Raw genomic sequence first — 25,402 nt, forward strand, 5'->3', positions numbered from 1 at the left:
AGCTGGGACTACAGGCACACACAACTAATTATTGTGTTTTTAGTAGAGACAGGGTTTCACCATGTTGGCCAGGATGATCTCTATCTCTTGACCTCGTGATCCACCTGCCTTGGCCTCCCAAACTGCTGGGATTACAGGCGTGAACCATCGCCCCCGGCCCCATCTTTAGCATTTTAAGTGTACAGTTTGGTGGTAATAAATACATGTATATTCTTTTTTCTCCCCTTTTATCTCTCCTGTTCCTTGCTCAGTCTCTAGTAATCATCAGTCTTTAGACTCTTACCTTTGTGAGATCCACTGTTGTAGCTCCCACATATGTGAAAACGTGATGTTTGTCTTTCTGTGCTTGACTTAACTTCACTTAACATAATGGCCTATAGTTCCATCCATGTTGTTGCAAATGACAGGATCTAATTCTTTTTTATTGCTGAATAATATACCACATTTTCTTTTCCATTGATGGGAACTCAGGTTGGTTCCTTGTTTTAAAAAAATGTATTTTTGAGGCAAGGTCTTGCTGTTGCCCAGGCTTTAGTGCAGCAACTCAGTCATAGCTCACTGCAACCTCAAACTCTTAGGCTCAAGGGATCCTCTTGCCTCAGCCTCCTGAATAGCTAGGACTTACAGATAGGGTACATGCCACGATGCCTGGCTAATTTATAATTTTTTTTGTAGAGACAAAGTCTTGCTATGTTGCCTAGGCTGATCTCCAACTCCTGGCCTTAAGCAATCCTCCCAGAGTGCAAAGATTACAAAGCATGAGCCATTGCACTGAGCTGGTTTCATATTTTGGCTGTTGTGAATAGTGCTGCAGTAAACATGGGAGTGCACAGGGATTTTTCTTTTCTTTTCTTTTCTTTTCTTTTCTTTTTTTTTTTTTTTTTTTTTTTTTGAGACGGAGTCTCGCTCTGTCACCCAGGCTGGAGTGCAGTGGCGCGATCTCGGCTCGCTACAACCTCTGCCTCCTGGGTTCAAGCGATTTTCCTGCCTCAGCCTCGTGAGTAGCTGGGATTACAGGCATGCGCCACCACGCCTGGCTAATTTTTTTGTATTTTTAGTAGAGATGGGGTTTCACTGTGTTAGCCAGGATGGTCTCGATCTCCTGACCTCGTGATCCATCCACCTTGGCCTCCCAAAGTGCTGGGATTACAGGTGTGAACCACTGCGCCTGGCCCAGGGTTTTTATAACTTTTTGCATACCAGGAATCCTGGTTCTCTCAAGAACACAGGCAGGGTATGATAGAATCAGGATGTCTTGTAATTACTGATTGTAACCAACATTACACATCAGAAAGTCTAAAATAATAATGCGAATATTACTGCCACCAATATAATTACTAGGAATGTTAAATTTTTTTTTTTTTACATATTCTCTATTTCTAGCCCCCATTTAAAAGTTTTTCTGTCTCCCTTGTCTGAGCATATTGCTATTACGTAACTTTCCCTTTTGTTTTTTTTTTTTGAGACAGAGTCTCACTCTGTTGCCCAGGCTGGAGTGCAGTGGTGCGATCACAGCTCACCGCAACCTCTGCCTCTTGGGTTCAAGTGATTCTTGTGCCTCAGCCTCCTGAGTAGCTGGGGTTACTGGCACGTGCCACCATTGCCTGGCTAATTTTTGTGTTTTTAGTAGAGACGGGGTTTCGCTGTGTTGAACAGGCTGTTCTCGAACTCCTGGCCTCAAGTGATCCTCCCCCTGCCTTTGCCTCCAAAGGTGCTGGGATTACGGGCATAGTCACTGCCCCGGCTGACTTTCCCTTTTAACTGTCAATCTTAGTTTTACAGTAGGTATATATCTCATGCCTACAACCAGTCCTTATGTCATTGTCATTGTATTCTCTCTGTCTCTCGTCAGTTTGGTTGTCTGAATGAAGCTTATTCTTTAATAGATTATTGAAAAGCGGCTAATTGAAACAATATTTCTGGAGTTTTTTTTTGTTTTGTTTTTTTTTGAGACAGAGTCTTGCTCTGTTGCCCAGGCTGGAGTGCAGTGGTGCGATCTTGACTCACTACAACCTCCACCTCCTGGGTTCAAGCGATTTTTCTGCCACAGCCTCCTGAGTATCTGGGATTACAGGTGCATGCCACCACGCCCGGCTACTTTTTTGTATTTTCAGTTGAGACGGGGTTTCTCTGTGATGGCTGGGCTGGTCTCGAACTCCTGACCTCAGGTGATCTGCCTGTCTTGGCCTCCCAAAGTGCTGGGATTACAGGCGTGAGCCACTGTGCCTGGCCTAACTTTTGTATTTTTAGTAGAGATGGGGTTTCATCGTGTTGGCCAGGTTGGTCTCAATTTCCTGACTTCAAGTGATCTGCCTGTCTCGGCCTCCCAAAGTGTTGGGATTACAGGCATGAGCCACTGCGCCTGGCCTGGAGTTCTTATGTGTATGTCTTGTATGTTGTCTGTGCCTTTTATTCTTTTTTTTTTTTTGCCCCCCTTTTTATTTCCCCTTTTTGTTGAGCATGGGGTCTCGCTATATTGCCCAGGCAGGTCTCAAACTCCTGGGCTCAGGCTATCCTCCCGCCTGTGCCTCCCTAAGAGCTGGAATTATAGGCATGAGCCACCGTGCCTGGCATGTGCCCTTTAATCTTGAAGGTCACTTTGGCTGGAAGTAAAATCTTTGGTTCACATTTTCTATCCTTGAGTGTCTTAAGTTTGTTAATTCTATTGTTTCCCCCCAGTAAAACTGTTAAAATCTATTTATTTTTGAGACAGAGTCTTGCTCTTTTGCCCCGGTTGGAGTGCAGTGATGCAATCTTGGTTCACTGTAAACTCTGTCTTCCCACCTCATCCTTCCCGGTAGCTGGGACTACAGGTATATGCCACCACACCTGGCTAATTTTTGTGTTTTCTGTAGAGATGGGGTTTCACCATGTTTTTAGGCTGGTCTCCTGAGCTTGAACTCCCGAGCTTAAGTGATCTGCCCACTTTGTTGGCCTCTTAAAGTGCAGGGATTACAGAGGTGTCACCATGCCTGGCCAGCTGTTAACATCTGATGATAATTTTTTTTACCTTATAAACTGCCCAATCTTTTTGCCTACCTTCCTAAAAGATTTTTTTCTTTAAAATACAGTGTGGGGTGTGTGTGTGTGTGTGTGTGTGTGTTTGTTTGTTTGTTTGTGTGTGTGTGTTTTGAGTCGGAGTCATGTGTGTGTGTTTGTGTGTTTTGAGTCGGAGTCGTGTGTGTGTGTGTGTGTGTGTGTGTGTGTGTGTGTGTGTGTGTGTTTTGAGTCGGAGTCTTGCTCTGTTGCCCAAGCTGGAGTGCAGTGGCGCCATCTCCGCTAACCGCAATCTCCGCCTCCCAGTAGCTGGCATTACAGGTGCCCACCACTATGCCTGGCTAATTTTTGTATGTTTAGTAGAGACGGGGTTTCACCATATTGGCCAGGCTGGTCTCAAACTCTTGACCTCGTGATCTCCCCGCCTTCGCCTCCCAAAGTGTCAGGATTACAGGTGTGAGCCACTGCGCCCGGCCAAAATACAGTGGTTTTTATAGACTAGATCTTTAAAAGCATTTTGAAAATCAATGTTGGATATTTTGGAGTCATTGTACTCAGGTATATGGTGTGGTCTTTTTTTTTTTTTTTATCCACTTATCTACACACTGGTGGTGTAGTCTTTCAATATGAATTTTTAAATTTTTAAAAAATATTAAATATTTCAAGAAAGTGAATTGTTGTCTTTGGTTTTTTTGTTGGGGAGGGGAGGGAGACTATATTGCTGCATCTTTGCATATCTTCAGTACTTATCATTTTGTCTTGAATTCTTCTTTTGAGTCCTTTTTTAAAAAGCAGTGTTACGGGCCGGGTGCGGTGGCTCACGCCTGTAATCCCAGCAGTTTGGGAGGCTGAGGCCGGCGGATCACCTGAGGTCGGGAGTTCAAGACCAGCCTGACCAACATGGAGAAACCCCATCTCTACTAAAAATACAAAATTTGCTGGGTGCGGTGCATGCTTGTAATCCCAGCTACTCGGGAGAATCACCTGATCCCGGGAGGCAGAGGTTACAGTGAGCCGAGCTCACGTCGTTGCACTCCAGTCTGGGCAACAAGAGTGAAACTCTGTCTGCAAAAAAAAAAAAATCAGTGTTATTGAGGTATAATTGACATACAATACACTGTATTTATTCGAAATGTACAGGTTGCTAAGTTTTCATATCTACACTCAGGAAACCATCACAACAATCAAGATTGTGAACATGTTCATTCATTACTCCCAGAAGTTTGCTCATGCCCCATTGTAATCTTCCCTCCCTGTGTGTGCTGCCTTCCCTCCAAGCAACTTTTTGTCAATGTAGATTAGTTTGTGAGTTCTAGAATTTTATGTAAATGGAACCATACAGTATGTATTCTTTGGCTTCTTCTATTCAACATAGTTTGTATTTCTTTTTATTTCTGAGTAGATGCATCGTATGAATATGCCACAATTTTTTTTTTTTTTTTTTTTTTTTTTTGAGATGGAGTGTCGCCCTGTTGCCCAGGCTGGAATACAGTGGTATGATCTCGGCTCACTGCAACCTCTGCCTCCAGGTTCAAGCTATTCTTCCGTCTCAGCCTCCCTGGTAGCTGGGGCCACAGGCGCGCGCCACCATGCCTGGCTAGTTTTTGTATTTTTAGTAGAGACGGGGTTTTACCACATGGGCCAGGCTGACTCCTGACCTCGTAATCCACCTGCCTCGGCCTCCCAAAGTGCTGGGATTACAGGCGTGAGCCACCACACTTGGCCCAGAGTAGCTTTTCTAACTACATGGAGCACTCTCGTTGGTTTTGTGAAGTGTTTTAAGAACACGGCAGTTTGCATTCTGAAATTCCAGGCTGTGTTCTCCACTTCTGCTTTTTTTTGAACCTTGTCTTCATTTCTCTTGACTCTTTCTCCTCATTGTGGGGCTTACCTCTAGATTGGAGCACTGTTGGGTCACTTTCAAGAGCTCAAGTGAGCAAGACCTGCTTCGTCTTTTCGAACTCAGAGCAGTCTATTCACTCATTGCTAGAGTTGGCAAAATCCATCTCAGTTTCAGCTGCTGTTCTCAAATTGGTCTGCAGTGATTTCCAATGAGTACCTGTTGGCTATTTTATGATTCTCCTGTTCCTAGGCCTTTGAAATACACCTTGACTTCTCTCTGTCACAGATCCCAGTAATGTTGAGGTCATGTGACTATCAGTTTTTCCTCATCCACTTTTTGAGTCTGTGGGAATACTGTGTCAGCTAGTTTTGTTGTAAATATGGTCCACTGGTTTTTGGTTCTGCTCTCTAGTTTGGTCAGCCATAAGGTTTTAGAGAGATGAAAAACTGTAGCACCACTGCCACTTTCTTAGAATTCTGCTTTTTAGGAAAACTTTTACATCCCTGTTAAGTCACTTCCCTCATTTATAAAATGAGATAATAATAGTACCTTGAAGTGTGGGCAGGCAATACATAGGAAACTCAGCACAGTGCTTGGTATGCAGAGTAAATGCTTGATAATAATACTCGTTGTTATGTTGTTGATAATGCATATTTTGATTCTGCTTTTTTTTCCCCCTCTACAGTTTGAAGTTCTTTGTGTTCAGGTATTTTGACAAAACAGTAAGAAAATAAAAGGTGGTTTAAAAGTAGTTATCGACAACTAAGACCCGCATTATTACAAAGAAATTCTCCTTAAGCCCATGAGGCTGTTAGATCCTTTTGTGAGGTTTCTTTTATCTTTTTCTTTTCTGTTTTTTTCTGTTTTTTGTTTTTTGTTTTTTTTTGTGAGACAGAGTCTCACTCTGTCACCCAGGCTGGAGTACAGTGGTGTCTTGGCTCATTTGAACCTCTGGCTCCCGGGTTCAAGCTCCCAGGTTCAAGCGATTCTCCTGCCTCAGCCTCCCAAGTAGCTGGAACTACAGGTGCGCACCACCACGCCCAGTTAATTTTTGTATTTTTAGTAGAGATGGGGTTTCACCATGTTGGCCAGGCTGGTCTCGAACTCTTGACCTCAAGTGATCGACCCGTCTCGGCTTCCCGAAGTGCTGGGATAACAGGTGTGAGCCACCGCGCCCGGCCTCTATGGGGTTTCTTAAGAGGGAATTTTGTTTTATTTTGTCTAACGTAGTATTTCTTGAAACACTTTGAAAATTATTTCTAAAATGTCAGCCAAATACTACCTTTATGAATTTTTCCACATTCTTGTAACATCTGTACAATTACTTCTTTAATGCTTTTTTTCAGGTCAGCTGAGTTTTTTTCCCTCAAAATTTTTTTTAAGTGGAAAGACTATTACAGATAAAGGTCAAACCCTCAACCCCCAGCCCCCACCCCCCCTCCCATAACCACTGTGTTAATTTTTTTCCCTTAATCTTGCTTTGGGAAATAAGATCTGAAGCCATTGGCTTGGTATAGTGGTTACGTTTTCTGAGTCACTTTACAATCTATAAATACTAAAATTACTAAAATATGAATTATCCATGTGTCACCTAAAGTCCTCTCATGTGCTGTCATCACAGTGGTACACAGAGGAAGCACAATAGATTTTCAGTAAATATAAGTTGAATAGATGCCCTTTTGCTTCTGTATATTCCAGTGAGTGAAGTTATTAAGATATGAACATGAATAAAATTATAGTTTTCTTTTTCATCACATCATGTAAACCTGAATGGTACACTGGAAGTTAGGCACGCCAACTTTCTGAGTAGAGTTAATTTTTCTTATCTTCATTCTTTCGGGTGCCCAAATAAGCTCATGTTTTCCATGGTCGGTTTAGTTTTTACTAGTCGTTGGCTAGTTTCCTAATTGCATGTGAGTTAGCATGTGGTGATGGCGGAGTAATGTCATGTCTTGGAGAGAACATTGCTTGAGTTCCAAACTTAGCTTTTCTACTTCTTGGTGAGACTTTGGACAAATTATTTGTGAGCTTGTTTCCTCACTTAAAAAAATGGGGTTTGTACCTTTAGTTGTTTCAACTGTTGTGAGGACTTGAATAATAAAGTATATAGCTATAGATAAGAAAACTTGGGGGACAGTAAAAATTATCTGTATGCTGGGCATAAATAGAATGAATATGGCTAAAGAAACGAGTCTAAAGTACTTAATCTTGTGGAATGAACTCTGATTGGACAGTCAGGAGAGCACAAAACAGATTTAGGTTTGAATTCTGAATTTCATCACGTAGTTACTATATGACCAAGGCTGACTTCTCTCCCTTAATTTCCAGGTGTGTAAATATAGGTAATAAAGTAGGTCTATTTAAAGGGATGTTGTGGGGATTAAATGAGTTTATAAGGTGCTTAATGCAGCGACAGGCAGATAGTGAGTGTCCTGTAAGTGGGAGTTACTGTAACTAATTATTCTACTTTTAGTGATTTTCATCACTTAAGTTACTGTTGGTCACAGTTTCCTCAGATACTAAATGAGAGGCTTGTAATAGATGATCTCCAAGGTTCCTTCCAGCTTGAAAGCTTAGAGGAATCTCTGTGCTGCAGCACTGTTTGTCTGGGGGTGGTATTGTAGCAGTAGCGACTACGAGTGGGGAATGGGACATGGTGATAGTGCTTAGTGTTAAAGTGTCTGATAATAATATGAGATGTTAACTGTTCGGGAGTAATTAGTAATTGGTGAATGGTGTGGAGACATTAAAAAGTTGAGAAGCAGTTGTCTATATTGCATGAGAAAGAGCAGTCACCACTACTACTAAACTCTTTAAAGTCACAAAGAGGTTCTTAAAATATCTGTTAGTTTTACCTGTATGCACATGTGTATCTGTATCTACAGATCCACTTAGTGTCTGCCAGTGAATGTATGGAATCATAATGTTTATGGACTATTACTGTATATGACATTACTGGATACCTGTCAAAAACTTCATGTTGCTTCAAAACATCATTAGTAAGCTTCAGATCTCATTAGTAAGAAGATAAGGAATTTATAGTCCACAGAGCACCTTGCTTTCTCTCTGCTTGTAGACTAAAGGTCTTTTCCCTTTTTGATGTAGAAGTTTGTTATTCAGGATCCATAGCAAAAAACTGAATCGCTGACTAAAACTAACAGTGTAGATAATTGAGAGTGTTTACTGTTTAATTACATGTGCCTATGGAAAACATTATATGTTGAGAAATGTATTTTAGATCTTCATTTTCACCAGCTCTCTGATGTGTTCGTTTGCTTGTCTTCTCTCTGGTTTCACCCATGAGCAGTCCTGTTGATGTGTCAGGCTGCCCAGGTTTTGCATTGCTTGTAATACATGTGTGTGGAAATCTACATGTAACCACTTGCACATTCCATCCCTATCGGATACCTTGGGTAACCTATTACCTGAATATTAAATATTTTTGAGAACTCACACCATTGACTATAAAGTGAATAATAGCTAATTCAAGTCTCAAATTAGTAATGATATGAAACAGTAGTAATAATGCCCTTAGTGGTATTTTTTAAAATGTGGCATGGAAGTAGGGCTTTTTCGTTATCAGTTAACCACTTAACGCAAAAAAATAGAAAACTTTTTTGTTTTGTTTTTTTTGAGACAAGGTCTTGCTCTGTCATCCAGGCTGGAGTACAGTGGTGCCATCATGGCCCACTGCAGCCTTGACCTCCCGGGCTTAAATGATCCTCCTGCCTCAGCCCCCGCCCGCAGTAGCTGCCAGAGGCATGTGCCACCATGCCTGGCTAGAAAAATAAAAAGCTTTATTGAGAGGCTCTGTAGAGTGAAGAGCCATTTGCAGCTATAAGTGTCATAGTATCTCTCTTGTCTCTATGCTTGTAATTTGTTTGACCGTTGCTTAGAAGACAGTCATGGTTAAAACTCTACTTCTTTCAGTATAATTTACTTGTCTCTCTCGCTCTCTTTTTTTTTTTTAAGACAGAGTCTCACTCTGTCTCCCAGGCTGGAGTGCAGTGGTGCAGTCTCAGCTCACTGCAGCCTCTGCCTCCCGGTTTCGAGCGATTCTCTTGCCTCAGCCTCCTAAGTAGCTGGGATTACAGGCGCCCATCACCGCTAATTTTTGTATTTTTAGTACACCATGTTGGCCAGGCTGGCCTTCAACTCCTGACCTCAGATGATCCACCTGCCTCGGCCTCTCAGAGTGCTGGGATTACAGGCATGAGCCACTGGGCTCAGCCTTTCTTTTATTCCTAAATGGCAAATATTTAATGAACATTTATTTTGTGTCAGACATTATCAAATATTTCATATGCATAACCTGATTTAGTCTTTACAACTACTATCTGAAGTAGGTCTTTCTCTTTTTTAAAAATGAGGCTGTTGAGTCTTAGAAGGCTTAAATAATTTGTCCAAGGTTGTACAGCTAAGTAATGGAACTGGGTTTTATACTCAGGCATTCTGGCTCCAAATCCTCTTGTAATTTGCATTTTATTAATATATACCATTTGCCCCTTGTTCAGTTGTCTTACATCCTCCTCCTCTACTGTAACAGTGCCAGAATCTTTTCAAAACCACTGTTAGAATGCGGAGCTTTCAGGCCAGGTGCGGTGGCTCACGCCTGTAATCGCAGCACTTTGGGAGGCCGAGGCGGGTGGATCATCTGAGGTCAGGAGTTCGAGACTAGCCTGGCTAACATGGTGAAACCCTGCCTCTACTGAAAATAGAAAAAATTAGCTGGGCATGGTGGCAGGCGCTTTTAGTCGCAGCTGCTCGGGAGGCTGAGGCAGGAGAATCGCTGGAACGCGGGAGGCAGAGGTTGCAGTGAGCCAAGATTGCACCACCACACTCCAGCTTGGGCGAAAGGGTGAGACAGTGTCTCAGAAAAAAAAAAATTTGGAGCTTTTTGCTTTTGTTAGGACTCTTATAATCGTTATTTCTGTAATTTCTGAGATTTTTCAAGTGGCTTACCTAAGCTTGACCTCATGTACTGTGGGGTATTTTGGGGCAATTATGAGAAGGTTGAGTGTGGGTCAATAAGATAGATGACTGATGTACCCTTAACATTTGTAATTTTGACTATTTTCCAGTCACCTCAAGGAAAAAAACTTTTAAGTAATTGTAATTTTGTAGAGACATAAATTTGAAACATACAGGTGATGAGACTGATACGTGTATTTTAACTTGAAGTGACTCTAAGCTTTCTATTTAATATATGCATCTTGGATTTGTTATTCTCAGTTAAGTAAAAATCTTACCACACCAATATTGGGAGGTAGTTCTAATATTCCCATTTGTAGGTGATGAAACTGGAGAAAAATATATGCTATAGAATTTGAAATTTAAGGAAAGTGCGAGGTCTTAACATTTGTAATTTTTGCACTATTGTGTATATCTGGGAGGAAGGGGGAGAGTGAGGTAGCTTTCTATCAACTAATGGCAAAGTACGGTTGTCCCTTGTTATATGTGGGTGATTGGTTCCAGGACCTCCTTTGGACATAAAATCTGTGGATGCTCAGTCCCTGATGTAAAGTGGTATAATATTTGCATATAACCTTTGCACATCCTTGGTGCATCTCTAGATTACTTATAATACGTAATACAATATAAATGATACGTAAATAGTTTTTATACCTTATATTGTTTAGGAAGTAATGACGAGAAATGTCTCCACATTTCAGTACAATTTTTCTCAAATATTTTCTCCTTCTTTTTTTTTGAGACGGAGTCTTGCTCTGTCACCCAGGCTGGAGTGCAGCGGCGCAATCTCAGCTCACTGCAACCTCTGGCTTCCGGGTTCACGCCATTCTCCTGCCTCAGCCTCCCGCTTAGCTGGGACTACGAGCGCCTGCCACCACACCTGGATAATTTTTTAAATATTTTTAGTAAAGACTGTGTTTCACCATGTTAGCCAGGATGGTCTTGATCTCCTGACCTCATGATCCACCCACCTCTGCCCTCCAAAGTGCTGGGGCTACAGGCGTGAGCCACTGCGCCCAGCCCTTTCTCAAATATTTTCAATCTGAGGTTGGTTGGATTCGCGAATGTGGAACTCGTAGATACAGAGGGCGCACTGTATTTCTATTTAAAATTGTGCAACTAAAGGGAATTTAATATTTTTAGAGATTGTTTTATTAGGGATACTGTTGTCTATGGTGATTTCCAGGGTGGCTTTTGAGGTGGTGGCCGTTTTTGTTTCAAAGAGATTTGTTAACTGGAGACTGGTCCACCTTTTCTAGGGCTTTTGCATACTAGAGTGTGTCTTGCTGTAAGGAGCAATCTTAAATGTAGGTAGAATGTAGGCTTTTTTTTTTTTTTTTTTAAACCACCCTTACCAGTGAATACTAGTGGTGAATTTGAGATTTTCATGTTTGTAGGGTCATTGCAAGACAAGTCGTGTTTCTTTTCCTCTTGTGTAGATACTGATACTTTTCTAGTCTTGCCCTGCCTGCTTGTTCATAGTAGAGAGTTTTTGGGGATGATACCTTGTTAAGTTGTCATTCAGTTTTCTTGTAAATATTGTGTGTGGTCTTTGGTTTTGCTATGTTGCTTTTGGTAGGATATGGCTAAAATCAGTGCCATAGCCAGCATGTGGTTACTTTAAAAATTATTTCTGACAAAATATTAGATGGTTAGATGAACAGGTAAAATTTTAAAAGTAGCTTTAAAAACTTGGATTTAAAATATGGAGAATATCTTGATATATGCTTTTTCTATTTACATCTTCATTTTGGTTAAGGAGGAATTTGGTGAGAATAACTGCATTTTGAGTGTAATGGATCACACAAATTAGGTAATTCTTGTGCCTATAAATGTGGAAAACTCATGTGCAAAGATGATTGAAATTGATACTGCTTTAGATGTTTCTGTCTCATTTTACAAAAATGTAAGAAAAAAAATCAAACTATACTGTTACCTATTTCTTGTATATTCTTAACAGAATGTTCTGTACACATAAGTGTATGTGTGTTAATCCTCTTGTTAAATGCCATGAAACTTCAGTTTGCCTTTTGTTATTTTCTTTATTTAGATACCTTTTTTCTTTTTCTTTTTTTTTTTTGAGACAGTCTTGCTCTGTTGCCTAGGCAGGAGTGCAGTGGCACAACCTCAGCTCACTGCAGCCTCCACCTCCTGGTTTCAAGCAATTTTTCTGCCTCAGCCTCCCGAGTAGGTGGGATTACGGGCACGTGCCACCGTGCCCAGCTAATTTTTTTGTATTTTTAGTAGAGACAGGGTTTTGCCATGTTGGCCAGGCTGGTCTCAAACTCTTGATCCCAGTTGATCCGCCTGCCTTGGCCTCCCAAAATGCTGGGATTTCAGGCATGAACCACCGCGCCCGGGCTTGTATTTGGATATCTTACCAAAACACAAAAATTTACCTCGTTGTCTTCATGGGCTGCATAATATTTTATTGTTTTGGGTGTTCTTTATTTAACCTGTCTTCTTTGATGGTTTTTTGGGCAGTTTACAGTTACCAACCAATTCAAACAGTGCTTAAGTTAATATACTGGCACAGATGTAAGAGTGGGATTTATGGGTTCATGATTATGTACGTTACTATGTTTGACAGATACTGCCAGCTGGCTTTCCAAAAAACTTGTTCAGTATGTGCTTCTACTAGCAGTATATGAAAGTTATCTCTATATCCATGTTAGCACCAAGCATTATTCAGATTTTAAAATTATTTTTATTTTTATATTTATTTTTGAGACCGGGTCTCACTCTGGCCCAGGCTGGAGTGCAGTGGCATGATCATAGCTTACTGCAACCTCAAACTCCTAGGCTCAAGTGATTTTCCCACCTGAGCTTCCCCAGTAGCTAGGACTACAGGTATGCACCACCACACCCAGCTAATTTATTAATTTTTTTGTAGAGATGGGGTCTTGCTCAGGCTGGTTGCCCAGGCTGGTCTCAACTGAGAATTGCTGAACTCAAGCAATTCTCCCACCTTGGCCTCCCAAAGTGCTGGGATTACAGGCATGAGCCATTGTGCAGAGCCCATTATTAGGCTTTTAAATCTGAAAATCTGGTAGGTGAAAAATGCTTTATTTAATTTGCATTGTTTTATTTTGTGCTAACATCTTATAGTTTTTTTTTATTGCCACTTGTAATTTTCTATCTGATGCCTCATTGATAGAGTTGTTCCTTTTTCAGATTTTTTGGCTAGACTAAAAAAATTGCCTGTATCATTTGTTTCATTGGAGATTTGAAAGTGATAATATTCTAAATCTAGCATTGCTTTATCATTTATTAGTTGGAATCCTTGTGTATTTATTTATTCATTTTAATGAGATGGGGTCTTGCTGTGTTGCCCAGGCTGGCCTCGAAACCCTGGCCTCAAGTGATCCACCTGCCTCAACTTCCCAAACTGCGGGGATTGCAGATGTAAGCAGCCTCACCCAGTCGTAATTTTTTTTCCTCGAAATATACTCCTGGCCTGTTTATTAATAAACATGCCAAAGCAAGCCATTTAGGATATAGGAAGAAAATAAATACTGAGAGCACTCTGAGATCTCAGAAATGTCATAAAGTCCTATAAAACAGAAGGAATGAAAACACTACCCACAAGATCTAAGATTGCTCTCTGCTATCTTTTTTTGAGACAGAGTCTCTCTCTGTTGCCCAGGGTGGAGTGCAGTGACTTGATCTCAGCTCACTGCCACCTCTGCCTCCCTGGTTCAAGCAGTTCTCCTGCCTCAGCCTCCTGAGTAGCTGGGATTACAGGTGTGTATCATGCCCAGCTGATTTTTACATTTTTAGTAGAGACAGGGTTTTGCCATGTTGGCCATGCTGGTCTTGAACTCCTGGCCTCAAGTAATCCACCCGCGTTGGCCTCCCAAAGTTGGGATTACAGGCATGAGCCACCGTGCCCAGCCTACTGTCTTTTTTTTTTTTTTTTTAGGGTCTCGCTCTGTCGCCCAGGCTGGAGTGCAGTGGCATGATCTCGGCTCACTGCAACCTCTGCCTCCCTGGTTCGAGCGATTCTTCTACCTCAGCCTCTCGATTAGCTGGCACTACAGGCGTGTGCCACCATGCCCAGCTTTTTTTTTTTTTTTTGAGACGGAGTTTCGCTGTGTCGCCCAGACTGGAGTGCAGTGGCGCCATCTCGGCTCACTGCAAGCTCCACCCCCTGGGTTCATGCCATTGTCCTGCCTTATCCTCCTGAGTAGCTGGGACTACAGGCTCCCGCCACCATGCCCGATTAATTTTTTTGTGTGTTTAGTAGAGACGGGGTTTCACCATGTTAGCCAGGACGGTCTCGATCTCCTGACCTCGTGATCTACCTGCTTTGGCCTCCCAAAGTGCTGGGATTACAGACGTGAACTACTGCACCCGCCCTGTTTTTTTGAGTAGAGACAGGGTTTCACCATGTTATCCAGGCTGGTCTCGAACTCCTGACCTCAAGTATCTGCCTGCTTCGGCCTCCCAAAGTGCTGGGAATACAGGTGTGAGCCACCATGCCTGGCCTCTACTATCTGAAACATAGTTTTAAATGACATATTTTAATCTAAATATAAATAAAACATTTAATTTGACCAATGCTGTTTAATTAAGCTAATAATAACCCTTGACAATAAATTAGATCTGAAATTATTTGAAGATGTGTGAGATTCTTTGAGATGTGGGAGTTTTTTTTCCACATTTTCCTTTAATTCTATAATATTCTCGTTCACTTTTTTTTTTCAATGCCTTATAGCAGTGGTTCTAAACCAGGGCTGACAATGTCTAGAGATGTTTTTGGTTGCTACAGTTTGGGGGCATGCTGCCGGCATCTAGTGGGGTAGAGGGCAGGGATGCCTCCAAACATCCTATATTGCTTAGGACACTCCCCAGCAATGAAGAATTGTCTGGCCCCAAATGTCAGTAGTGTCAAGGTTGAGAGACTGCTTTATAGGAGAAAGCATACCTGAAGATTTTAAAAGTGTCTTGAAGTTTTCTTCTAGGACCTCTGAAATTTAAAAAAATGGTAAGACCACCAATTAAGGTCTTTAACCAAGTCTTAGTTTTACCTATCAGAATTCTATTTGAGACGGTAAAGTATAATTTTGAGAAATAAATAATATGAATGTCCTAGATGTTTTTGTGTTTATTTAAATATGGTGTCTGTTAACTAGCTTTATTGGTTCATTGTTTATTTTTATTATTTTTTTTTTTTAATACAGAGTCTCACTCTGTCACCCATTCTGTTAACTGGCTTTACTGGTTCATTGTTTCTTTTTTTTTTTTTTTTTTTTTTAAATACAGAGTCTCACTCTGTCGCCCAGGCTGGAGTTCAGTGGCTCACTGAAACCTCCACCTCCCACTGAAACCTCCACCTCCCGGGTTCAAGAGATTTTCATGCTTCAGCCACCCGAGTAGCTGGGATTACAGGCATGTGTCACCACATCTAGCTAATTTTTGTATTTTTAGTACAGATAGGGTTTTGTCATGTTGCCCAGGCTGGTCCTGAACTCCTGAGCTCAAGTGATCTGCTTGCTTTGGCCTCCCAGTGCTGGGATTAATAGAGAATGGGATATGGCCTATGTTGCTTAGGCTGGTCCCAAGCTCTGGGCACAAGCTATTTACCACCTCAGCCTCACAAAGTGCTGGGATTACAGACATCAGCCACTGTGCCCAGCCAGGTCATTCTTCATATCTGTGGGGAGAGAGCCTTCAATTCCTCACTTTCTTGATGGATTAGTAGCCTCATGGCTTCATTAACCACAGGTAACCATAGAGGTATACCTAACCTTTAGTTTCCCATAAATTCTGCCTGTTGTAGCCTGGAAGCTGTGTGTATTTTACAGTCCAGGTCACAGGCCACTGCTGATACACCAACCAGTCTTCAGTGACAGCAGTGCTGACCACTTCCCCCACCCCCAATTAGCACCCAAAGGAGCTAGCTGCCCTAGCCACTGGTGGGTCCCCTGCATGCTGTCCTTGAAAGGGAAGAGTTAGATATATTGAGTCTAGAAAGAGTGAGAGAGAAAGAGATTGGTTATTTCTGTCATCTTTCAGAATTAAGTGTATGTTAAAGTGAGGACTCTGTTCCTTATGTATGCATCATATATATGCATTTTGGAAACTCTTGACAAAGTTGGAAGAACTTTGGAAGAAGCTGGAAGTGTGGAGAAGTCTACTAAATCCATACCAGCTTTTTTTTTTTGAGATGGAGTCTTGCTCTGTCGCCCAGGCTGGAGTGTAGTGGCTCAGTCTTGGCTTACTATAACCTCCACCTCCTGGGTTCTAGCAATTCTCCCTGCTTCAGCCTTCCGTGTAGCTGGGATTACAGGCGACCACCACCACACCCGGCTAATTTTTGTATTTTTAGTAGAGACAGGGTTTCACCATGTTGGCCAGGCTCATACCAGCATGTTTTAATGCAACTATTAACAATATTTTGTTACTGTATGGTAGAGATGGTAAACTGGCTGGGACACTGGGCGTGCAGATACAGACCAGGTTGGTTTTGGGGAAACTAGGAGGTATGGTCACTCTATTTTGTTTCTTTGATGTCCTTTGTACATCATTCCTAGTTAATATATTTCTTATATTTTTATCCTATCTTTCTTATACTTTTAGCCAGGCAGATATACACTTGACCCTTACACAACACAGGTTTCAACTGTGGGGGTCAACTTAAACATAGATTGAAAGTACAATATTTGTAGGATGTGTGAAACCTGCCTACACAATGGACTGCTTTTTTTGTATTCGTGGGTTCTACAGGGTTGACAGCGGGATTTAAGTATGTGCAGATTTTGGTATACACAGGAGTCTTGGAACCAGTTCCTAAAGTATACCAAGGGATGACTCTGCTGTCATAGTCGTTATGTTATGTTATGTTATGTTATGTTATGTTATGTTATGTTATTTATGTTATGTTAGTATCCGAAACAGGGTCTTGCTCTGTTGCCCAGGCTGGAGTGCAGTGATGTGTCCATGGCTCATGGCAGCCTCAACCACCCGGGCACAAGCAGTTCTCCCACCCCAGCCTCCCATGTAGTGTCTTGGTCTTTAAAATTTTTTCTTCACCTAGGTTCTTCTTACCTTTCCAGTCTTCTCTTTCCACCATTTGTAACTTTTTCACATTACTTGAAGTTCACTGAATATGCAGTGTTCTACTGTGCTGGTGTTAAATTCTCATAGCACTTTGTTGTTAATTGCCTCATATGTTCTTCCTTATGGGATACCTTCAACTTGTCTTTTAAGACTGTTCAGATGGCCCCCATTCAAATATATATTATTTACTGAGAAGTTTTCTTGGATCTCCTTTTCTCAATAAAAACTGCCATATTTCTGACATGTATCAATTGCATTTTCTGTTATAGCTGTTTGCTTACTAGTCTGTTTCTACTTGTGGTTCTGTAAGTTTTGAGGGGGCTGAACTTATGTTACTCAGAATGTGTCACACAGTAGGAGCTGGGTTAGATAAATGAATAGAGATATGTACCATATAATGACATTTTAGTCATCGATGGACCACATATATGATGGTGGTCCTATAATAGTATAATGCCGTATTTTTACTGTACTTTTTCTATTTTACCTATGTTCAGACATACGAATACTTACCATTACAGGTTTGCAGGCTAGGAGCAATAAGCCATATACCATATAGTCTAGGTGTATAGTAGACTATACCATGTGGGTTTGTGTAAGTGCACTCTGTGATGTTCACACATTGGAATCATCTGATGACACATTTCTCAGAACATACCCTCGTCATTAAAAGATACATCACTGTAGATGAAAAACAGAACACTGTCTTCATCTACAAAGGAACTATTATTTTATTTATTTATTTATTTTTGGGACGGAGTCTTACTCTGTTGCCCAGGCTGGAGTGCAGTGGTGTGATCTCAGCTCACTGCAACCTCCTCCTCCTGGGTTCAAGTGATTCTCCTGCCTCAGCCTCCCTAGTAGCTGGGATTATAGGCATGTGCCACCACACCCGGCTAATTTTTGTATTTTTAGTAGAGACGGGGTTTTGCCATGTTGGCTAGGCTGGTCTCGAACTCCTGACCTCAGATGATCTGCTCCCTTTGGCTTCCCAAAGTGCTGGGATTACAGGTGTGAGCAACCATGCCCGGCCCCTAGAAGCTATTATTTGTAACTTTAGAAAATAATAGAAATTATTATTGGGATTGGAGTCATGAGTGTGAGTGGGTGAAAGTGTATTCTGAGTGAAGTATACTTGCTCTCTCTCTTCTCTCCCAATTTCCATATGTCCAGATTCTGTCTATTTGTCCACTTGGCTCTTGTCTGAGAGCTTCCCAGATTTTCCTAGAATATAATAGCCTTGCCATTTACAATTTTGTCTTATTTTCCACTCTATATTAGGGGTATTTTGTTATAAATATTATTCTGCCAAGGTGTAGGCTTCTTCTAGAGGGCATAATTTGGTTGTTTTATCATTATTTCCTTCTGCATCATATGTCACGATTTCTTCAAAATACAAATTTACTGTCTTAGCTTGGGATGCTATAACAAAATACCATTGACTTGGTGACTTAATAGAAATTTATTTCCTCATGGTTTTGGAGGCTGGCAGTCTAAGATAAGTGTGCCAGCATAGTCAGGTTATGTGGTAAGGCTTTCTTCCTGGCCCTGTTTTTTTGTTTCATTTGTTTTTGAGACAGGGTCTTGTTCCATCACCCAGGTTGGAGTGTAGTGGTGGGACAATAGCTCACTGTAGTCCTAGGCTCAAGCAGTCCTCCTGTCCTCAGCCTCCTGAGTAGCTGAGACTACAAGCACACATCCCCACGCCTGGCTTATATTTTAAAAACATTATTTTGGCCAGTTGTGGTGGGTGGCTCACGCCTGTAATCCCAACACTTTGGGAGGCAGAGTCAGGCGGATCGCTTGAGCCCAGGAGTTTTGAGACCAGCCTGGGTAACATAACATGCTGAAACCCTGTCACTACAAAGAAATGCAAAAATATAGCTGGGTGTGGTGGTGTGTGCCTGTAGTCTCAGCTACTCAGGAGGCTGAGGTGGGAGGATCACTTGAGCCTGGGAGGTCAGGGATGCATGGGGCCAAGATGGCACCACTGCACTCCAGCCTGGGCCACAGAGTGAGACCCTGTCTCTTTAAAAAAAAAAAAAAAAAAAGTTAAAAAACTTTTTTTGTAGAGACAGGGTGTTGCTGTGTTGCCCAGGCTGGTCTTGAGCTCTTGTGCTGAAACAGTCCTCTCACCTTGGCCTCCTAAAGTGCTGGGATTATAGGTGTGATCTACCGTGCCTGGTGTTTCTGGCATAATTGGTGTGTCCTCACATGGTGGAGAGAGTATAAGTTCTCAGGTGTCTTCTTATAAGGGTCCTAATCCGATTATGAGGGCTCCTCCTAAAGGCTTGGGCTCCAAGTACTATCATATTAGGAGGTGGGTTTCAACACATGAATTTTAGTGGTGTGGGGCAGGCGGGTAAGGGCACACATTTGGTATGTAACACTTGTCAAAGATTTGTGCATTAGTCTATGTTGCTTAATGTTTACTGGTTAAATTCAGGTATGGATTGCTTTATGCAGATATGTTTTTGAAAATTATGTTAACTAAGTTGTGTGTAGTAAATGTTTTAAGTGAACTCATATAGCTCACTTAAAAAGAGTAGGAAGGAGAAGGGGCTTGGATTCATTTTATTTCATTAAAAAAAAATTTTTTTTTTTTTTTTTGTAACAGGATCTTACTGTTTCACCCAGGCTGGGGGTGCAGTGGCAAGATCACTACTCACTGTAGCCTCAATCTCCCTGGCTCAGGTGATCCTCCCGCCTCAGCCTCCTGAGTAGCTGGGACTACAGATTTGCAACACCATGCCTGGCTAATTTTTATATATTTTTTTGTGGAGATAGGGTTTTGCCCTTTTGCCCAGGCTGGTCTCAAATTCCTGGGCTGAAGCCTTCCTCCCACCTCTGACTCCAGAGTGTTAGGATTACAAGCATAAGCCATCACGCCCAGCCTGGAATTTATTAAATGTATACCATGTGACAGGTTAGATACTTTCAACATAAATTAGGAAAAAAATACTGGTGTGAATTTTCTCAAAGGGGAAGCTCTGTTTATCACAGTATTTGTGTAATTCCTGATTTTACATTGTTTGCTCACATTCCTTCTCATGTTTATTAAGGTATCACTTAAGTCAACAAATATTTATTGAGTATATATTCTGTTCCAAGTACTGCGCTAGGTATTGCGGGTGCTGTGGTGAGCAAACCACAGTATCTGGTAGTAATTTTAAAAATTACTTTAACAGTGAAGTATTACATTTCTATATGTGTGTGTGTGTGTGTGTGTGTGTGTGTGTGTATATATGCATATATATATATTTTTTTTTTTTTTTTGAAACAATCTCGCTCTGTTGTTCAGGTTGGAGTGCAGTGGCACAGTCTTGGCTCACTGTAGCCTCCGCTTCCCAGGTTCAAGTGATTCTCCTGCCTTAGGTTCCCAAGTAGCTGGGTCTAGAGGTGCCTGCCACCACTTCTGGGTAGTTTTTGTATTTTTGGTGGAGATGGAGTTTCACCATGTTGGCCAGGCTGGTCTCGAACTCCTGACTTCAAGTGGTTTGCTCTCCTTGGCCTCCTAAAGTGCTGTGATTACAGGCACGAACCACTGCGCCCAGCCTGTTTCTTTTAATATTTTGCTTATTGCTTTTATCAGCATTGGCCTGTACAAAATACATTAACTTCATTTTAAAAATTAGGCCTGGAGGAAATCTTTTATAAATGTAGCCCTTTAAGAGAGTAATTTTTTTCAGTTGATTTTTAAATAAGCTTAGGTTAGGGGCCTAAGACTGATGAGGTATATAGAAGGTCAACAAACAATTATTACTTTTGTTATGCATTGAAAAGTTTTAGTTACAAGGTGAAAGTTACAGTGTCAAGTGATAGAAGCCTCATAATGTGTGAAGTGCTTAGTTCATAATGTGAGAGAGCTTGGTTAGATTAGATGGGAATAAAATTGAAATTTAAATTTTTTCCTTTAGAATTTTTTCTGTTACATATGTAAATTCCAAAGATTTTGACACAATTACAAACTTCAGTAAAATGAAGTTTAATCCTATAATATCTTTGCTACCAAGTTTAAGAACGTCAATAAATATCATCATTATGTTTTTCTCCACATTTTAATATCTCTGAAATTGGAAAGTCTTTGAAACATCAATAGCGACCTAGAATTGCAGCTTGCCGCATTTCTTTTTTTTTTTTTTTTTTAAACAATGCAGTCTTACAGTTGATGCTGACTTATATTTAATGGATACAATATTAATAACTCTTGGAAGCCTTAGGATATTGGATAGTACAAGCAACTTGGAAGAGACATTCACTCTTGAAGGAAAGACTTCTGAGTATTCAGTGTAAATAGGCTGATTTAAATAATGGTGTGTTTCAGGTAAGAAAATGTTTTAAGAGACAGTTTAGTATGTTGCTTTTATATTTAGTTGGTATTGTTTGCTCAGAAGTTCAGATCATTATGAGGATTTGTGGGTAAAATTGCATCCTTACTTTGTGACTGTTTAAGAGATTTTGCCTTTTTAAAATTGTTAATGGAACAATACAAAAACTTTAAATTATGGAATCATTATGGAGTGAGGTTTCTTTTCTTTTCCTTTTTTTTGTTTTTTTTTTGAGATGGAATTTCGCTCTTGTTGCCCTGACTGGAGTGCAATGGCGCGATCTCAACCTCTGCTCACTGCAACCTCTGCCTCCTGGGTTCAAGCAATTCTGCCTCAGCCTCCCGAGTAGCTCAGATTACGGGCATGCGCCACCATGCCTGGCTAATTTTGTATTTTTAGTAGAGACAGGGTTTCTCCATGTTGGTCAGGCTGGCCTGGAACTGCTGACCTCAGGTGATCCACCCGCCTTGGCCTCACAAAGTGCTGGGATTAGAGGCATGAGCCACAGTGCCTGGCCAGAATAAGATTTCTTTAATGTGCCCTTTTTAAAAATCACTGAATTTGGTATTGAGATGAGGCATAAGGTGTTAAAAAACACAGCTGCATATTTAAAATATGTTTTTTATTACAAAAGTAGGAAACCTTGTTTAAAACAATTTAAACAGTGCAGTAGTTCATCAAAGGAAGACATGACAGTCCCTCCATTTCTATCCGATGTAATATAGCATATTAATTTAGAATATACTTAATATTTATGTGCATTCAGTAAAATAAAAAATGGAAGTGGACCATTTAGTAAGTTGCTTTTTAAAAAGTCACCGTGAAAAATGAAAGTATACTTGAGCAAACCTTTGTATGTTAAGGAATTAAATTCAGATTTTTCAGGTATAATATACTTGGAAGAGAAATGCCAGAAGCCACTTAAAAGAATAATTTGGATTACCTTTGCTTTTTGATATTCAGTTTGAATGTTTTTGTTTCTGAATTACAAAGTTTCATCATTAGTAGCTTAATTTTTCTTAATTTGTATTTTCACTAAGCATTTACCTTTTTAATACTTTTAAAAGGTAAAAAGCTTATATTAAAAATAAAATAGATTTTATAGATATGATTGGCTGAAATGAACAGCCTTTTTCAGACTAGAAACTTAAATTCATAAATATATACATAATAAATTCAGATCTAATTTCTAATGTAGGAAAATCAGTGTTTGGGTCTGATGCAGGAACATTTATATATTTTGAAGATCTATGATACTTATATTGGAAAAAGGTAAAATTCACCAATTTATAATCAAGGGTAGAAAGGAAAATTTATCAAACTAAAATCAAGGGATAAATTTCTAGGAAGAAAGGAAAATAGCAATAAAGTTACTTTATTGGTAGTGATCTGTCTTAGGAGGATTGTCAATGTGTATAACAACATAGAGGATCTTGTACATTCTGTAGGGTTACCTGCGGAGAACCAAACTAAAACCTAAATTCTCTGAATATTTTGGTGGATCTTAAGGTGTTGGGTAGTCTGCTGGACTCAGTGTTTTAAATGGTTCATTTGGGAATGTCCACCCAGATTTGAATTAATTTAGTAGTCTCACAGCATTTTAAATATTAAATGGTAAATAAACTTCTAAATTATAATTTGAAAGCCCAAAGGAGTTTCTTTTCTCTCTCCTTCCTTCCTGCCTCCCTCCCTCCTTCTCCTTTCCTTTCCTTTCCCTTTGTTTTTTTCTTCACAGCTCAGATTTCTGCTTTTAAGCTAAAGCATTTAAGATTTAGTCCCAAAATAATACTTGGCTTTTTGAAAGCATCAAATTCATTTAAAAATTTTTGCTTCCAAGCAGCACAACTGATTGTGGTTCACGTAAGCCCAAAAGAAAACTAGAAAAGAAGGGAAAGAAATATTTATTAGAAGGATATTGAAATAACACTTAGAAACAAGGGTTGAGCTACACTACCAAGCCAAAGGGTATGAGGATGGAGCCCAGGGACCTCAGCAGCAGAAGTTGTTAGACTTGTTCTTCAGGTTCTAGCAAAGGACTGAGTTCCAGTCTTGGTGTCTTCCATATTTCACATTTTTGGAGGAAAATAATCTGATTGGCCTGGCCCTGGTCAGGTGGGGTGATGAGAGAAACAGAGCTGGCTACTGGAGGCCCATCCTTGTGTATTCAGTACCTTTTAAAGAAAATGGGAACCATGAGCTGGGGAGCTGACTCATTAGTATGTGCTATAACCAGCATATATGTGTATACAGTACCTGCAATTCATCATATTGGTAAAATATGTTAAAATTATTATCTTAAAACTGTTGTGAAGGTTATAATGGCAACTTACTGTGTCAGTGGGAATCACCTTCTGACCTTTAAGGGTCCAGATAAATTTAGCACTGACCCTTGTTCTATTATTGTGAGACGTTTATTGTTCTTACTAAGATCTTTGAATTGTTGAAATGCTTATATTTCTTGATACTGTAGCTTCTGTTAGCCTAGTATCATGGAACCTCATCTTTATAAGGAAAAAAAGACGTAGAACTGGTGATTATGGTCTGGGGAAGAATATAATAGTTGCTTTAAGGAAGTTATAAACAAAGTGCTTTGGGAGCAGTAACTTAAAAAGTTTATTTCTGACAAGGAATATTTAGCAGTGCATCATGGTGCAAGGAGGCATTTCAACTTAGTCTGGGCAGAGGGAACAGTGAGCAAAGGAATAGTAAAGTTCAGAGCTGTGGAGGAAGAATTAGGATAGATTAGAAAGGGTCTTGCTAATGCATAGAATTTTGGCTTTAGAAAGACATTAGAAATTAATGAAGGCTTTTGAGCAGAGAAAAGATAAATCAGAGCTTTGCCTTGGAGAAATTGAGTCTAATTCAAAGGAATTAGGGAAATCACTCAGGAGATGATTATGGTATTTAAGCTAGAGGAGATGAGAATTTGTAATGGTGCAGCATTAGTGGGAATGAACATGAGGGTTCACAGACAACATTAGGTTATGGATCTGTAGATAATATCTGTTCATCATTCTCACCTTGCCTGGGTTTTTATAGGTTTCCTAACTTGATTTTGCTTGCCCTTTCTAGTCTTGTCTAATATATGCTATTAGTAGTAGTCATGCTACAATATAAGTATGTTATTCCCATGATTAAAATCTTTCTGCACCTTCTCCCTTGCTCAAGTTAAAGTTCTTATGAGATTTAAGGCATAAATAAATAATTGTAGCTCTATTTAATTTGATATTTTTCTATTTGTTCCCTGTGTTTTTCTTTTCTCCTAAATTACTCAATTCTCTAGTAAATTCGTACTGCCTCGTCCCAGTGACTTTGTACATATTGTTCCCTTTGCTGGAACAAAGACCTTACTTTTCCTTTGTGTACATTTTTTCTCCCTCTTCTGTGTTGCTCTTGACTTTGTGCTCATTTTAAAAGATACATGCAAGGGGTCATCTCTTCTAGAAAACCTCCATTGACCCTGAATTAGATGTGACTCAGCCCACTTCTATCATCATATATAAAATTTGCCGTGCCATTATTTTTTGTTTAGAGTGAGTTCCCTGAGGACAACTAAATTCTTTATATATCTTTTCTTACCACATAATAGCTTAGGGATGCATATTTGCATTAAATGTTTTTTGGCCTATACCGAGCTTATACAGCCCGCAGGCTGCATGCAGCCCAGGGCAGCTTTGAATGTGACCCAACACAAATTCATAAACTTTCTTGAAACATTATGAGATTTTTGCGATTTTTTTTTAAAAAAAGCACATCAGCTATCATTAGTGTTAGTGTTAGTGTATTTTATGTGCAGCCTAAGACAATTTCTCTTCCAGTGTGACCCAGGGAAGCCAAAACATTGGACAATCCTGGCCTATACTGTTCCTGTAACTAGATGTCATGATGTAATTAGAGTATGGATTCTGAAGCCATAAAGCCTGGGTTGAAATCCCAGCCCTGTTACTTATTACCTGTGCAATTATGGGCAGTTTATTTAACCTGTTTCGAAGTTGTCTTATTGATAATAAAATGCGGAGAGTAGTACCACCCAACTCATACATATGCTTCTGAAGATTGAGTTAATATGTCCAAAGTGCTTAGAACAGTACCTGGCATTTGTGATTATGTATGTGCTTGCTATTTTTATTATGCATTACAGTTCAAATATGAATCTATTCCCCTGTTTTTTTGTTTTTGAGACAGAGTCTTGCTCTGTCAC

The 25,402-nt window shown here is 40.3% G+C and overlaps 1 protein-coding gene across 5 annotated transcripts in view; it reads left to right on the top strand.

The window, feature by feature from the left end:
* The window catches only part of PPP4R2 (protein phosphatase 4 regulatory subunit 2), a 72,456-nt gene that overhangs the window by 5,025 nt on the left and 42,029 nt on the right, over positions 1–25,402 (top strand). The window contains exons 3-4 of one of the 5 annotated variants that reach the window (NM_001318028.2): positions 13,148–13,216; positions 14,055–14,367. The exons of the other annotated variants lie outside the window; for them this stretch is intronic. Of the exons in view, the coding sequence (NP_001304957.1) occupies positions 13,148–13,216; positions 14,055–14,079 (94 nt within the window). The 3' untranslated portion in view covers positions 14,080–14,367. Of the gene's footprint in view, positions 1–13,147; positions 13,217–14,054; positions 14,368–25,402 lie in introns of those variants that run through there. 5 annotated transcript variants of the gene reach the window in all.

Source organism: Homo sapiens, chromosome 3 (assembly GCF_000001405.40).
Source record: "Homo sapiens chromosome 3, GRCh38.p14 Primary Assembly".
NCBI lineage: Eukaryota > Metazoa > Chordata > Mammalia > Primates > Hominidae > Homo > Homo sapiens.